General features: G+C 37.1%; 1 protein-coding gene across 8 annotated transcripts in view; it reads left to right on the top strand.

Annotated features, from left to right (window-relative positions):
* TM2D1 (TM2 domain containing 1) overlaps positions 1-14,786 on the top strand; it is a 44,096-nt gene extending 29,310 nt beyond the window's left edge. For 2 of the 8 annotated variants that reach the window (NR_135160.2, XR_007064044.1), the window contains 4 exons: positions 1,062-1,135; positions 8,911-9,040; positions 12,286-12,415; positions 14,482-14,786. Coding sequence is in view for 4 of the 8 variants with exons in the window: in XM_047431743.1 (XP_047287699.1) it covers positions 1,062-1,135; positions 8,911-9,040; positions 12,286-12,311 (230 nt within the window). In the remaining 4 variants the exon portion in view is untranslated. Of the gene's footprint in view, positions 1-1,061; positions 1,136-8,910; positions 9,041-12,285; positions 12,421-14,481 lie in introns of those variants that run through there. The other 6 variants (NM_032027.3, XM_047431744.1, NR_135162.2 and 3 more) reach the window with 5 other exon arrangements.
* Positions 14,787-15,446: the final 660 nt, after the last annotated feature.

Here is a 15,446-nt window from a genome sequence, read left to right as displayed (position 1 = left end):
ATTTTTAATTATTTCTGTATTTTAATAGTTATTAACTTATTGCCGCCATGTTATTTCTGTACTTGCAACATTATTCTGCTATATGTGGGGGAAAAAGTCATCTAATGTCCTTACATAGTTCAATCTTATTTGTGTATTCTCAGGTTGTGGGAGAATCCTCTGTGTGATCCTCTGTGAGATGTGTGATCTCATCCTCTCTTAGGATTTTTAGCTGGCATCTATTTGTAGTTGATATATGGAACTACATTTTCACAAAGAGTCTTGTCTTATACCATTTTTATATCTCATATGAGATGTCTTGTAAGAAACTCAAGTTTAAATTCATAAGAGATTAATCATCCCACCCCCAGCCCACCCCCAATCTGCCTCTTACAATCGTTTTTGGGTTATATTATTGTAGATGTCCCATATTAGATACTCTGTTATCATCTATTTTAGCATCTTAGCTCTTGGGTTGGGACCAAGGACAAAGCTGTATATAGTGCTCAGCACAGAATTGTTGATTTTGACTATAGAGCTAATAAACAGGTGATCCTTAGGAAAAAGAAATATATAAGATAAAGGTAATTGGATTGCTAATAAAATTTTGCAATTTTACAACAAGAGCAGTGTTTTTTCCTGATTTTTTTTTTGGCATGACAATTTTTATATTTTAACTCTCCAAATGTATAGTAAATTTTGGGTCACATAATGTATGAAGTCTAAATAAGTAATTAAGGATTTTAGGACTAAAAGATGTAACTCTGGTGTACTGAGATTTAAGGATTATTTCCTTAGGCCTTTTCTCTTAGAAATTTTATTAGATTATATTGAGGTTTTTTTCAGTTACTAATATTTATTTGTTAAGGGAATTAAATTATTTTTTGGCATTTCTGTGTAGAGGGTTCCTTTAAACTCTTCTCATTTTCAAGTGAAGATTTGATTTCTTTAAGTGTTACTTTTATGTTCTTGATATAAAGAGTGTGATATATATATATAATAATGGTTTATTGGAAAATGGAGCAGTTTGTTAATATTTAGAAGACCTTCCAGATTATAAATGACTTTACCTTCTTTTCTAGGTTTGTTAAAGTTTTGCACTGTAGGGTTTTGTGGAATTGGGAGCCTAATTGATTTCATTCTTATTTCAATGCAGGTAAGTTTCTCAATCTAGAATGTAAACTACTTTTACATTCAAAATTGAGTTCTGTGATCTCCTGTTCTATTTAAAATGTTTAGTATACGAGGAAGCAGAGAAGAATGGTTGTTTCCATTTTTCTTCATGTACTAGATCTAAGGAATCCTGGTCATGTTTCCAACTAGCATTTCTCAAACTGTGCTCTACCAGTTAGTAGTTCTCAAAGACATAAGAAGTTCATTAAAAAATATCCCGTGCTCAAATATGATTTGTAAATGTGAGTTCAATTGAGTTAAAGAAGTTTCTTTACTGAATAAGTTCTCAAAATCTTTTTAATATATGTTGTCTCTAAGAGGGATTGTGGTTATTTTTCAAACCCGTTTCTTTTCCTCATAGTCACTGTCACCTTGTCAATTACCATAAAAGCATTGATAGGATTCTGTTATACATATGGGCATTGTGGAAGCAGAGACAAGATTTTCTTTTGCACTGGACAGGCACTCCATACTAGTATTGTGTTGTTTGCAAATTACAGAAACTGAAATCCAGCTAGCTTAAGCTAAAAAGAAAAAAAAAAGGGCGTTCTTTAGAAAATCTGAGAATGTAGAACAGATATGTATAAACAAATGATATACATGTTTAGGGCTCTCCTGATAACTCATCTTGCTTTTCTCCATAGCCTTATTTTCTCCTGCTGCAGTGGGACTGGGGGCGGGCATAGTTTGTGAAATGCTGTCCTTAAACATTTAAAAGTGCCACCAGATGTTTTCTGTTAAATTATGTAGAACTGATTGTGGTTAACTCATGAGGATTCTTAGAGAAAGAGATGAATTTTTCACAACAAATGTTGACAAACAGCATTTCAACAAGCATTTATGGAGCACCTAACGTCTTTAGCAAGTGTGTCAGTTGCATTTAGAGCATCATCTGTTTTGCTCTGCTTTCTCATATAGTATTTCCACTCTTCAATTCTGTCTGCTTGATGTTATCATTATGCTTTAAAAGAAAGTCACAATCTAGGAGATTTGGATACCATACTGTGAGGAGGAGGCAGCATATGGACCAATAAGATACCAGAATTAAACAAGGAAAATATTTGGTTTTAAAGTTGGAATTTTCCTGTCTGTACTCGTAAACATATGCCTAACCAAATATCCTGCCTTCTCTAACTGTGGGACAGGCAAGCAGGCATGAAGAGGCTAAGGTACTTGTGCACATATGCTTAGAAATGAGCTTCTCACTTTCAGTGAGGATCCAAGGAATTTAATATATTATTGGGATTCTTTGAGTTAAGATATCCAGAATTCAAAGTGTCTTTGAAACTGAACCATTTAGTTAATATTTTCATGCTAGGTTCTTTCTTTGGTGATATTATTGAATTGTAGCTTTAGTTATATCAAATTATAGAGCTAATTTGATTCAGTCACTGCTTTCTGATTCATTTATACCTGAACTTTTTACAATAAATAGTTTTTTTGAGACAGGGTCTCACTGTGTCACACAGGCTGGAGTGCAGTGGTGTGATCTCAGATCACTGTCAACCTCTGCCTCCTGGGCTTAAGCGATCCTCCCACCTCAGCCTCCCAAGTAGCTGAGACTACAGGTGTGCGCCACCATACCTGGCTAATTTTTGTATATTCTGAAGAGACAAGGTTTCCCCATGTTGCCCAGGCTGGTCTCCTGAGCTCAAGCAATCTGCCCACCTCAGCCTTCCAAAGGGCTATTATTACAGGCGTGAGCAACTGCACCTGGCCTCTAGTTGTTTAACTTAAAGATCTTCTGGGATTAGGAGTCGATCACATTAAGAAATTATTGAGGTGTAGAGTTAGAGTGTGTGAACATCTGCAGTAAATTCCCCTAAATAAGACATTTTCACAGATATGATCAGTTTAGACTGCTTTCAAATTGAGGGAGATTATAATAAATCCATTTCAAGCATAGCCAAATAAGATGGGTAGCCTTATTCTTCATGTCATTTAACATATTTAACATTTGATGTTGACATCATCAGTTTTAGAGGAGAATTCCTGGGCTTAAGCGATCCTCTCATCTCAGCCTCCCAAAGTGTTGGGATTACAGGCATGAGTCACTGTGCCTGGCCCTGGCTCATCTTTTTGTTTATTTTTCTTTCCTTCCCCATTCTTGCCATGACTTTCTCTCTTTCTTTTTTTTCTTTTCTTTCTCTTTCTTTCCTTCTTTCTTTTCTCTTTCTCTTTCTTTTTCTTTCTTTCTTTCTCTCTTCTTCCTTCCTTCCTTCTTTCCATCTTTCTTTCTTTCTTTTTTGCCATTAAATATTATTTTCCAGTGAGTAGCAATGTGTTTCTGTTGGACTGTGATCCCATAAACGTATCGGGCATGGATTCAAGACCTATAAAAACATACTGTAGTCTAGTTATAGTTTGTCTTTGAACAGAAACAATACAAAGTATAATGCCCATATTGCTAAAGTAAGCTTTACATGTTGCTATGTTTCCTGAAAATACTTTTATGAGTTTGTCTATTTGTTATTAAACTTTGGAATTTTCTATCTTTTGTTCCTAAAAATATACAGATAATATGAATGATGATGCATGGCATGAAATAATACATAGAATACAGTCCAGAAAATCTAAATCAGTGATACATGTATAGCATACCATCTTTCAGCTGTGGGTAACTATTGTATATATAACTACTATATATATATATATGGTTATTCATAAGGTAGTTTTGAATATTTAAAGACACTCATTATTTTGTGCCATATATATATACATATATATATATATATATATATATATATTTTTTTTTTTTAAGTTTTTTTTGAGATGGAGTTTTCGTCGCCCAGGCTGGAGTGCAGTGGCTTGATCTCGGCTCACCGCAACCTCCACCTCCTGGATTCAAGCGTTTCTCCTGCCTCAGCCTCCTGAGTAGCTGGGATTACAGGCACACACCACTACGCCTGGCTAATTTTATATTTTTAGTAGAGACGGGGTTTCTCCATGTTGGTCAGGCCGGTGTCGAACTCCTGACCTCAGGTGATCCACCCACCTTGGTGTCCCACAGTGCTGGGATTATAGGCATAAGCCACTGCACCCAGCCTCCTTATATTTTTATATATGTCATGAAGGATAGATTAGATAATACGAGTTTTTTATCAGAAAAATGAGATTGTTTTGATTATATTTAAACCTCTTTCCTCATTCACACAATCTGGACTTTTTTTTTTTTTTTTTTTTTGAGATGGAGTTTTGCTCTTGTCGTCCAGGCTGGAGTGCAATGGTGTGATCTCAGCCCACTGCAACCTCTGCCTCCCAGGTTCAAGCGATTCTTCTGCCTCAGTCTCCCAAGTAGCTGGGATTACAGGCACGCACCACTATGCCCGGCTAATTTTGTATTTTTAGTAGAGATAGGGTTTCACCAATTTGGTCAGGCTGGTCTCAAACTCCTGACCTCAGGTGATCCGCCCGCCTTTGCCTTCCAAAGTGCTGGGATTACAAGTGTGAGCCACCATGCCTGGCCTGGGCATTTTTAATTATACCAAAATCACTGACGTATATTCTGCAAAATAAAAAGAAAATAAAGTCTCTTATATTAAGTGGAGACAAACAGCCACGAATCAGAAAGATGAGGATATGTGGAGGGAAAATGGAAATAAGTATTACAATACAGAAAGTTATTGGAAGTATGCTGGGTTCTTTCTTTGTCACAATTTTTTAAAAATTCTGTTCATCATGGAAGAAATTGCTTTTACTTTCATTCCTATTAATATGACAGAGTGGATTTCCTTAAAGAACTAATAACCATACAAGCAGCAGAAATTTAGCATAATGTCTGAAACATTTATGAATTTTATAAATACATTTAACAGACTGGTAAAGTATGTTTCATGAGTTTGATATTTATTATAAACCACTCTAACACTGGGTTATATACTGCTTTGTATTAGTTTTTAACTTTTAAACAATGGATTTGACTTTTCACACATAAATTTTTTGAGGAAAAATGACTTTTATTAATCTGCTATAGTACCAGTTATGTTAAACAGAGTATGCCCTTAAAAATTTTTGCTGATTTGAAACTGTATGCAGTATGCCTTATACAAAGTGTGGCTTTGTGCCTAGTGCAAGCAAGATGAGATGCAAAATGTAGTTTTTAAAAAAGTGATTGTTTTTATGTAGGACCTGTTTTAGTCCATTTGGGGCTATAACAAAATACTTTAGACTGTATTATTTCTTTTTGTTTTGTTTTGTGTTTTTTTTTTTTTTTTTTTTTTTTTGAGACTGAGTCTTGCCCTATTGCTCAGGCTGGAGTACAGTGGCGCAATCTCGGCTCACTGTAATCTCTGCCTCCCGGCTTCAAGCGATTCTCATCCCTCAGCCTCCTGAGTAGCTAGGATTACAGGTGCCAACCACCACACCTGGCTAATTTTTGTATTTTTAGTAGAGACAGGGTTTCACCATATTGGCCAGGCTGGTCTTGAACTCCTGACCTCAAATGATCCACCCACCTTGGCCTCCCAAACTGCTGGGATTACAGGCATTAGCCACTGTGCATGGCCTAGACTAGATTATTTCTAAACCATGGAAAATTACTTCTTATAGTTCTGGAGGCTGGGAAGTCCAGTATCAAGACACCAGCAGGTTCAGTGTCTGGTAAGGACTCTCTGCTTCATAGATGGTGCCTTCTATATGTGCCCACATGGTGTAAAGGGTAAGGTCATTAATCCCATTAGTGGATGGTGGAGCCCTAATGACTTAATAACTTTCCAAAGGCCCTACCTCTTAATACCAACACATTTGGGGTTAGACTTCAACATAGGAATTTTGTAGGGACACAAACATTCAAAACATAATAGGGCTAAATTCCTGAATTGCACAGTGTCACTTGAGAGGTAATGAATAAAAATGAAAGTTGATATGATAAACTATACATTATGGCATCAGTGGAAATCGGTTTAGTGAGCATCAACTTAGGTATGATAACATGGGGTCCTTGCCCTAGAGGAACCTATTATCTTTTCCAAGAATAGTCTGATAATAGATTCCATTTATTTTTAGAAACAAAATATTTCCAGATGAGTGCCTATAGTTTCAGCACTTTGGGAGGCCGAGGTGGGAGGATCACTGGAGCTCAGGAATTTGAGACCAGCGTGGGCAACACAGTGAAACTCCTTATCTACAAAAAATTTTTAAAAAATTTGCCAGGTGTGGTGGTGCATGCCTGTAGTTCCAACTGCTCAGGAGGCTGAGGTTGGAGGATCACTTGAGCCTGAGAGATCGATCAAGGTTGCAGAGTGAACTGTGATTGTAGTACTACACTCTAGCATGAGCAACAGAGTGAGACCCTGTCTCAAAAAATAATAATAATAAAATAAAATATTTCCTTGGGGGCTGTAGACCTAATAAACACTTTTCTTAATTTTTATCTTTTAAAAAATCTTTGCATTTTACGAACATTTTTAAAAGCCTAAGCTTTTCAGTTTAGACCAAAGTGTGGCCAAGGCTATGGAATCACGTCTATGTGAGCCAGTTTGTTTGGTCAAAGACATAGCCTATGCCTTTTTGATCAAAAGAAGGACTAAAAGCATAATTGCCATAAATCTACTACCAATGCTGGAAAGGTGGTATACTTGATAGTTTGCTAGATGTAGGACAACAATATATACAAACAGAAGACATTTTTTTATTTTTATTTCTGAGATGGAGTCTTGCTCTGTTGCCCAGGCTGGAGTGCAGTGGCACGATCTCAGCTCACTGCAACCTCCACCTCCCGGGTTCAAGCAATTCTCCTGCCTCAGCCTCCTGAGTAGCTGGGATTACAGGCATGTGCCACCGCGCCCAGCTAATTTTTAGTAGAGATGGCGTTTCACCATGTTGGCCAGGCTGGTCTCAAACTCCTGACCTCAGTTGGTCTGCCTGGCTCAACCTCCCACAGTGCTGGTATTATGGGCATAAGCCACCACACCCAGCCACAGAGGAGTTTTTTTTTTTGGGTGGCGGGGGGCGGTGGGGGGACAGAGTCTCGCTCCATTGCCCAGGCTGGAGTGCAGTGGCACGATCTTGGCTCACTGTGACCTCCGCCTCCTGGGTTCAAGCGATTCTTCTGCCTCAGCCTCCTGAGTAGCTGGGACTACAGGCATGTGCCACCGCGCCCAGCTGATTTTTGTATTTTTAGTAAACACGGGATTTCACCATGTTGGCCAGGATGGTCTCGATCTCTTGACCTCGTTACCTGCCCGCCTCAGCCTCCCAAAGTGCTGAGATTACAGGCGTGAGCCACCGTGTCTGGCCACAGAGGACATTTTATAGACATCAAATCTTTCAGATAGCTCCCTGTATCATTATTTAACCCTGGTGTGATATATTGGGAAAATAAATTGGAAAACCGAAGTGACTGATCATTTGAGTAACTTTTACTCTGTCATGTGACCTTAATTAGGTAGATTTCACTTAGTTCACTTACCCTGTGGGTAGATTTTTTTTTAGTGCCTTTAAGAGGATTTTCAAAACAAAGAATATCTTAAACTGGTTCTGAGACGAATCCCAATGCTATGTTTTCCTCAGGATATAAATGGTGACTCTTATTCATTCCTTAAAGAATAGTGTTTATATTGGTCATTTATGATTAATACTAAGAATTCTTTAAGTCAAATGAAGTCAGGTGTTCTGAATGCATAAATTCTGGCACTGTGTAGGAATTTTGATGCTTAATTAAAATGTGACTAATCAGATGGTTTTAATGGCATCATCTTAAAATTAGTCACACACAGAAGTGAAATATGGATACAAAAATGTAGTCTGACTTTTAAGAAAGTATTAGTTATTTGGGGGAGTTGGGATGGATACAGGTTGCATTAGCCTTTACTTGCAGACAGCTGAATCCTTTTACTTTTATCACCAGATTGGTAGGTTTGCAGGAGATGATCTGATCTTGCTGATGTTACTGTTGGCATTCTTTGTATGGAGGAACTCAGAAGTCTTTTAGATAGAGAAAGCATAGATTGATATAAAATGGTCTTTTTTTTTTCTTTCACTTCTTCATTCATTACATTTGAAATTTATAAAATACTTGAGTTACCTAAGAAACATGACTTCACTGACAATGCTGTTAAATGAGGGGTCATATCAATTGCCAAAGTTGGGGTGATAAAGTACTTACTGGTAACCACATTTTTTTTCCTTTATTCTTAGTAGAATACCACCTAAGTATATACAAACAAATTACATTTTACACTAACAAGATCAGAAGTTTATAAATTGCAAACATTAATACTACAACATTAAGTGCAAATAAGATACTAGCTTTTTGTACAGTAAAATATATATAACATAAAAATTGCCACTTTAATCTTTAAGTGTACAGTTAGTGGCATTAATTGTGTTCAGAATATTTTACAACTGTCACCACTATCTATTTCTAAAACTTTTTCATCACTCCAAAAATACCGTACCCCTTAAGTAATAGCTTCCTTCCCCTTCTCTTCCCACCTTCTGGTAACCTCTAATATACTTTTTGTCTTTTTTAATTTGCCTGTTCTAAATTTTTGTTTTTACAAATAGAGACAGGATCTCACTTTGTTCCCTAGGCTGGTCTCAAACTCCTGGGCTCAAGCTATCCTGCCTCGGCCTCCCTAAGTGCTGGGATTACAGACATGAGACACTGTGCCCAGCCAGCTTCAGGATATTTCTTAGCAGAGAAATAAACTCATAATTTTGGGTTCCATACTCTGTTGCCTATGGACAAATGGACATGGTCATATTTACTGAGGAAAAAAATTCCCAGTATTGGGGTAATTTACTTTCTTTTTTTAGAGACAGGGTCTTGCTCTGTTGCCCAGGCTGGAGTGCAGTGGCGTGATCATAACTCATTGCAGCCTCGAATTCCTGGGTTCAAACAATCTTCCTGCCTCAGCCTCCCATCCAGTATGGGATATTTTAAAAGGTTTGTAATTTTATAATTAATAATACAATCATATACTCATAATGACAGATGTTAGAATTGGCACATTTATTATATATGTGTATGTGGGTGCTTAAAACAGGTTTTATTATTTATTTATTTTTTCTTTGAGATAGAGCCTCACTCTGTTTCCCAGGTTGGAGTGGAGTGGTACAATCTCAGCTCACTGCAACTCTGCCTCCTTGGTTCAAGCAATTCTCATGCCTCAGCCTCCCTAGTAGTAGCTGGGATTACAGGTGTGCACCACCGTGCCTGACTAATTCTTGTATTTTTTTTTTTTGTAGATACTGGGTTTTGCCATGTTGGCCAGACTGGTCTCGAACTCCTGGCCTCAAGCAATCCTCCCACCTTGGCCTCCCAAAGTGCTGGGATTACAGGCATGAGCCACCACACCCTGTCTTAATTTGGCAAAGGAATGTGGATCTAAATAGTTGACATCTTTATAGCTGATCTTTTTTTTTTAAAAAGTAAATAAAACAGTTTCTTCTGTGACCAGATAGTTCATAGAAAAGTGTGTTGATGATACTTTGTAGTGGCTTAAGCTGAGGTGTTTGTATCTAAATCTTATAGAAGACATTAAAACTTTAAAAATACTGTACAGATCAGCTTATTCTATTCTTCATTATAATCAATAAGAAAAATTGAGATCCAGTAAGGAATAAATTATTTGATTCTACAGCTAGTTATAGAAAGAGACAGCTTTCTCTTCCAAGTTTTCCTTTCAGTTTAGTGCTTTACCACACCGACTTAATTTGGTTATTTAAATAGGGTTGCATTTTGTCACCCAGGCTGGAGCGCAGTGGTGTGATCATAGCTCACTGCAACCTTGAACTCCTGGGCTCAAGCAATCCTCCTACCTCAGCCTCTCGAGTAGCTGAGACTACAAGCGCACACCATGGCACCTGGCTAATATTTTATTTTCATTTTTTTTGGTAGAGGCAAAGTTCTTGCTTTTTTGCCCATGCTGGTCTCAAACTTCTGGCTTCAAGCAGTCTTCCTGCCTTGGCCTCCCAAAGTGTGGGATTACAGTTAATTTTTATGTAAACTCATAAATAAGTGTCAAGCCAAATCAATTTAATCTTTGACAAGTAAGTCAATGTGCATAACAGCACCTGACATGGTGTGTGGCACACATGTGCTTTGTAAGTACTACTTGAATATTAACATGTGTAGTTCACTGGAATAAGTTCCCTGTTGGCAGAGATGGTATTTTATTCACTGTTAGTGTATAATGTCTAGCATAGAACCTGGAATATCACAGGAATTAAGTATTTGTTGAATAGTTTTAAGATCAAATTTATTTTTAAAATGAGGAATGCTTTATAGCAATGTCCTTCAATTTCAAAAACAAAGTCCATACTCTCCACATATTTTTAAATTGACATTTAAGTTTTCTATCATAAGTTTAAATAGTTGCAAAGGATATAACTTCTAGTTTGCAAATATTTACATATTTAAATAAAAGTGTTACATCAATTTTGAAATGTATCCAACAGAATATAAATATCGTAGGATTTTAAATATCACCTACTTAAAAAAGATGTGCATGAACTCTTCACTAACCATTATAATTTTTACATTGCTTCTTCCTTGAATTTTTATTTTTATTCCTCTTCTACAGAATTTTATCCTAATATAATATATTTTTAGGTTTAAAAACTTCCTACTAGGCTGGGCACATTGGCTCACGCCTGTAATTCCAGCTCTTTGGGAGGCCGAAGCAGGCAGATCAATTGATGTTCTTAACCATCATCCTAGTACTAGGAGTTTGAGACCAGCCTGTTCAACATAGTGAAATCCTGTCTCTACAAAAAAATACAAAAACAAAATTAGCTGGGCGTGATGGCGCCCACCTGTGGTCCCAGCTACTTGGGAGGCTGAGGTGGGAGGATCGCTAGAGCCCCGGGGGGGAGGTTGCAGTGAGCCAAGATCATGCCATTGCACTCCAGCCTGGATGACAGAGTGAGACCCTATATCAAAAAACAAACAAACAAACAAATGAAAGAGAGAAAACTTCTAGCGAATCATCTTATTCATTAAAATTAAAATATTTAAAAATTTTCTGTGATTTTTTGTTTGGATCAACTTGTTATAATAATGATACACAGTTGATCAAAACAGCATAAACATGTTGCAAATTATTTTTAAACAAAAAGATGTAAAATGTTATTGGAAATGCATCTTTGGAACAGATACGGTAGAATGTATTTTTGGACCTTTGAGTAAAGGATAGTTCCCTAAATCCAATATTTTGAGCTATCCCTTTGTTTGGCACTTCAGAGGCTTTCACACCTCAGGGAAATATGCCATCATAAGACTCGGGGTATCCTGGATGGTAGGTATGCTTTACTGTTAACAAGTGGGAGAAATGACCACAGTGAGGAGAAGTGGGAAGGGAAACTGGTAGGATGCTTCCAGTGTAGCATGGTATCAGGCAAATTTGTTTTACAAAGAGTATTTAGGGAATTAAGCTCTCAGGATTGATTTCTCCTCTGGGCCCACATACACCTTGGTAAATCTTTGTCCACCTTTAATGCTACAGTTTGAAGATTGCTACCTTAGAGGGTAATTTATAGAGATTATGTTAACTAGATTGTCACATATGTGATTAAGTGGACAAGATGATTGTAGCGAACATGTGTTGTTTTTTTCTACCTCTTCCTTTTCCATTCCAGGTGGTTCTGGCAGGACTGTCAATGATACAACCTCATCTCCTACAGGCAGCCTGGCCTGGCCAATCATATTAAATCTATTCCCATGGATATAGTAGTTTGTCCACAGTACGCATAAAAACCAAGCAGATCGATAAAAGTCTTTCCCTGGAATTGGTATATAAACATTGGGGAAGAAAAGTTTACTTTCTTTGTATTAGGAGCTGCTGAGCTGGGAATATGTGACTCTAGAGCTGTTGGCAATTAGTTAGAGTGCCACTCTGCAGAATGAAGACAAGCAGAGCTAAGCAAGGAGGCAGGGAAGCCAAGGGCCTCAGGGAGCACAGAATTCAGTCCTTGGTTCCTGTAGCTTTTCTTTTGATCCTTTGAGCTATCCCAGTATATCCCAGTAGTTGTTTTTAGCTACATGAGCCACTAAATTACCTATTTTTGCTTAGGTTAGAGCTGGATTTTTGTTGCTTCTGAAATACTTTTATTAACAACTGAGAAAAGTAAACAAAGTGCTGTGAAATATCTTTTGTAAAATGAATAATTTTGAAATTTTGTCTCTTCTAGATTGTTGGACCTTCAGATGGAAGTAGTTACATTATAGATTACTATGGAACCAGACTTACAAGACTGAGTATTACTAATGAAACATTTAGAAAAACGCAATTATATCCATAAATATTTTTTAAAAGAAACAGTAAGTGATATATATATATATGTAATATCTTATAGTGGTATATTATTCATATAAAATTATGAGAATTTTAGGACCATAGAAAATTTTAAGAAACCGTATAAACCTCTCAGGTACCCCTATGCCTGAAACATCTCCAATCCTTTGAAAAGCATTTTAGTCCACGCTCATGGCTCCTTCGGTTCCCACTTCAGACTCTTTGCAGTGCATATGGTTAAAGGACAAAGTTCACAAGAAAAAAGTAACATCAAAGCAAAAAGGCATTTATTATTTGATGGTTATGATGAAAGTATGTGCCGTAAATAGCTCAATATAGCAGATATTTCTGCTGCCCATCCCTCTAAGGGTCAGTATAATCTTTAACTTCCTTCTTTGCTTCTCCTTCCCTGAAACTGAAAATAGATACTGAAAGAGTCCAAAGCCTGAATTCCCTGTAAGTGCTTCTTCTAACCTAAAGTTTGGCTCTGGCTGTAAGAATTATTGGCCTCAGCTTTATCTTTTTCTTTTTCTTTTTTTTTTTTTTTTTTGAGACAGAGTCTTGCTCTGTTGCCCAGGCTGGAGTGCAGTGGCTCAATCTTGGCTCACTGCAACGTCTGCCTCCCAGGTTCAAGCGATTCTCGTGCCTCAGCCTCCCCAGTAGCTGGGACTACAGGCACACACCACCATGCCCGGGTAACTTGTATTTTTAGTAGAGATGGGGTTTCGCCATTTTAGTCAGGCTAGTCTTGAACTCTTCAGGTGATCCACCTGCTTCGGCCTCCCAGAGTGCTGGAATTACAGGCGTGAGCCACTGTGCCTGGCTGGCCTCAGCTTTAAATAAGTGATAAACCTGCTGAAGTCAGAGATACCATCCTTTTTCCTGGTTCAACTCTCTGGTTTTCTAGGACTCTGCTACTACAAGGTTTTTTAAATTTCAATTACCATACATTAGTCTATTCTAATAATCTTCCAATAATGCAAACTTTTACTCAGGATTTTGGTAGAATATCAGGAAAACCATTTCCTGGTATAATGATTCTCTGTAATAGAGAAATCCTATATATCATGTAGGGTGAAGGGTAGTTTTTATGTAATAGTTCACTTTGAGCTGTCTAGCAGCTGTCTAGAAGCTTTCATAGACACAGACAGGTAGAGAGAAAGACAGGGTAGATGTCTTAACCATTATCCTTGTTCTAGGGTTTTCAGTCAACTCTATCTCAAAGGACTGCTTCTAGAGGCCAGCAAGAGAATAGACATTTGTTTTCTGTCTTGTAGAACAGAAACAGGATATGAAGTATACTTTTGCCCTTTAGGTGGATTTTTTTCTTTTCTAACAGTAAAATTATGGATATGCCTTGTAGTTATTGTCATGGGATTGAACAGTGACACACCCTCAAGATGTAAGGAATTTATTCAACTGATTGTCCAAAAGGTTTTCCAAATCTTATAAACTGTAAGTCATTGAGCCTTAAAATTAGAATAAAGCTTAGAGATCCATCTACCTCTTCTTACCAGGAAAAAAATCAAGACCTAAGGAAGTTGAGAGTAAGATACGCAACTAATTAGTGCAAAACTGAAACTAGAATCTAGGTCTTCCATACATTCTGTCACATGGTTGTTCTCTTCCTCCCATCCTACCCCAGCTCCAGTCAACTGTATCATTTTGTATTAGGCATTTTTGTTTTGGAAATTGTTTCTCCTATTTTATGAGAAGGATTGTGTAGTTTCATGTAACTTTTATTATTCATACTGTAAATTGTGTCTCTTTCAAAAGTAGATTGTTTCTAAACCATAGTGTGTAAAAATTAAGCAAATGTAATTTTAAGAGGAATCTCATTCTTGGTAGCCTATTATGTAAACATTTAGGTGGGATTCCAGATTCAGATTTGAAACTTAAAACCTGAAAGGCCCATTGAGAAGGCCAGTATCTGCATTATCATTCATGTAATCTCTCTACATTATACAGAAGTGCTCCAAGAATGAGAAAAAAATACATTGAGCAAATGAAATGTTAAAATGTACATCTGCAATAACCTCATTGGACTCTTAAAAAATATTGTGTTTTAACGTATTTCTTCTTTCTGTTTTAGGATTTGAGCCTCCTTGATTTTAATAGAGAACTTCTAGTGTATGGATTTAAAGATTTCTCTTTTTCATTCATATACCATTTTATGAGTTCTGTATAATTTTTTGTGGTTTTTGTTTTGTTGAGTTAAAGTATATTATTGTGAGATTTATTTAATAGGACTTCCTTTGAAAGCTGTATAATAGTGTTTCTCGGGCTTCTGTCTCTATGAGAGATAGCTTATTACTCTGATACTCTTTAATCTTTTACAAAGGCAAGTTGCCACTTGTCATTTTTGTTTCTGAAAAATAAAAGTATAACTTATTCACATTTTTAGTGCTTTGTTATTGAGAAAATCTTCTTAAATGTTGAATGTAGCTGTCTTACCCATTTTGATCCTTCAAAGCAGTTAATCCATGGTGTGAACAAATACCATTTATATTGCCTGGGGCTTCAGTCTTGTGTATGACAACCCACCTGTTTTTCTGCAGCTTTCAGATCTGTCTTTGCCTTGGTATCCAGGGAGCTAAAGATCATTAGGGAGTCTGTGAAACTTTGAGGCAACATGTACACTTCTGGCATTGATTCAGGCCTCTGAGGTGTGAACTTCTTCCTTTTTTGCTTTGGGAGTGCTACACTAGCTTTTGGAAGACCAGATGCTGACTCATCTAGCTCACCGCAGTTATATTTGAAGCTGGATGGACAAGGTGGGAGCACCAAACAGATGATTAATGTCTTCCATCTGTGAGCACCACCAGGCAGATGCCGGCACAGGTGCCTTAAGTGATGTACCAGTGTCTGAAAAAAGCAGCACCTGTATGTTAGCACTGATTTTTCTTACCATGTTTAGAGGGGTTTTAAGAAGATGGAAATACATGAAATGTTATGTCCCCAGAATACTATCCCACTTTTTCTTCAGTAACAGGCATACCAATTTCAAAATTACTAGTGTCGGTACTCCTCAAGAGTAAAAACCATAATTTTTTGTCA

The sequence above is a fragment of the Homo sapiens genome, chromosome 1, assembly GCF_000001405.40.
Source record: "Homo sapiens chromosome 1, GRCh38.p14 Primary Assembly".
Taxonomy (NCBI): domain Eukaryota; kingdom Metazoa; phylum Chordata; class Mammalia; order Primates; family Hominidae; genus Homo; species Homo sapiens.
The sequence above is the reverse complement of the archived record's forward strand: the minus strand, read 5'-3'. Positions and strand labels throughout refer to the sequence as shown.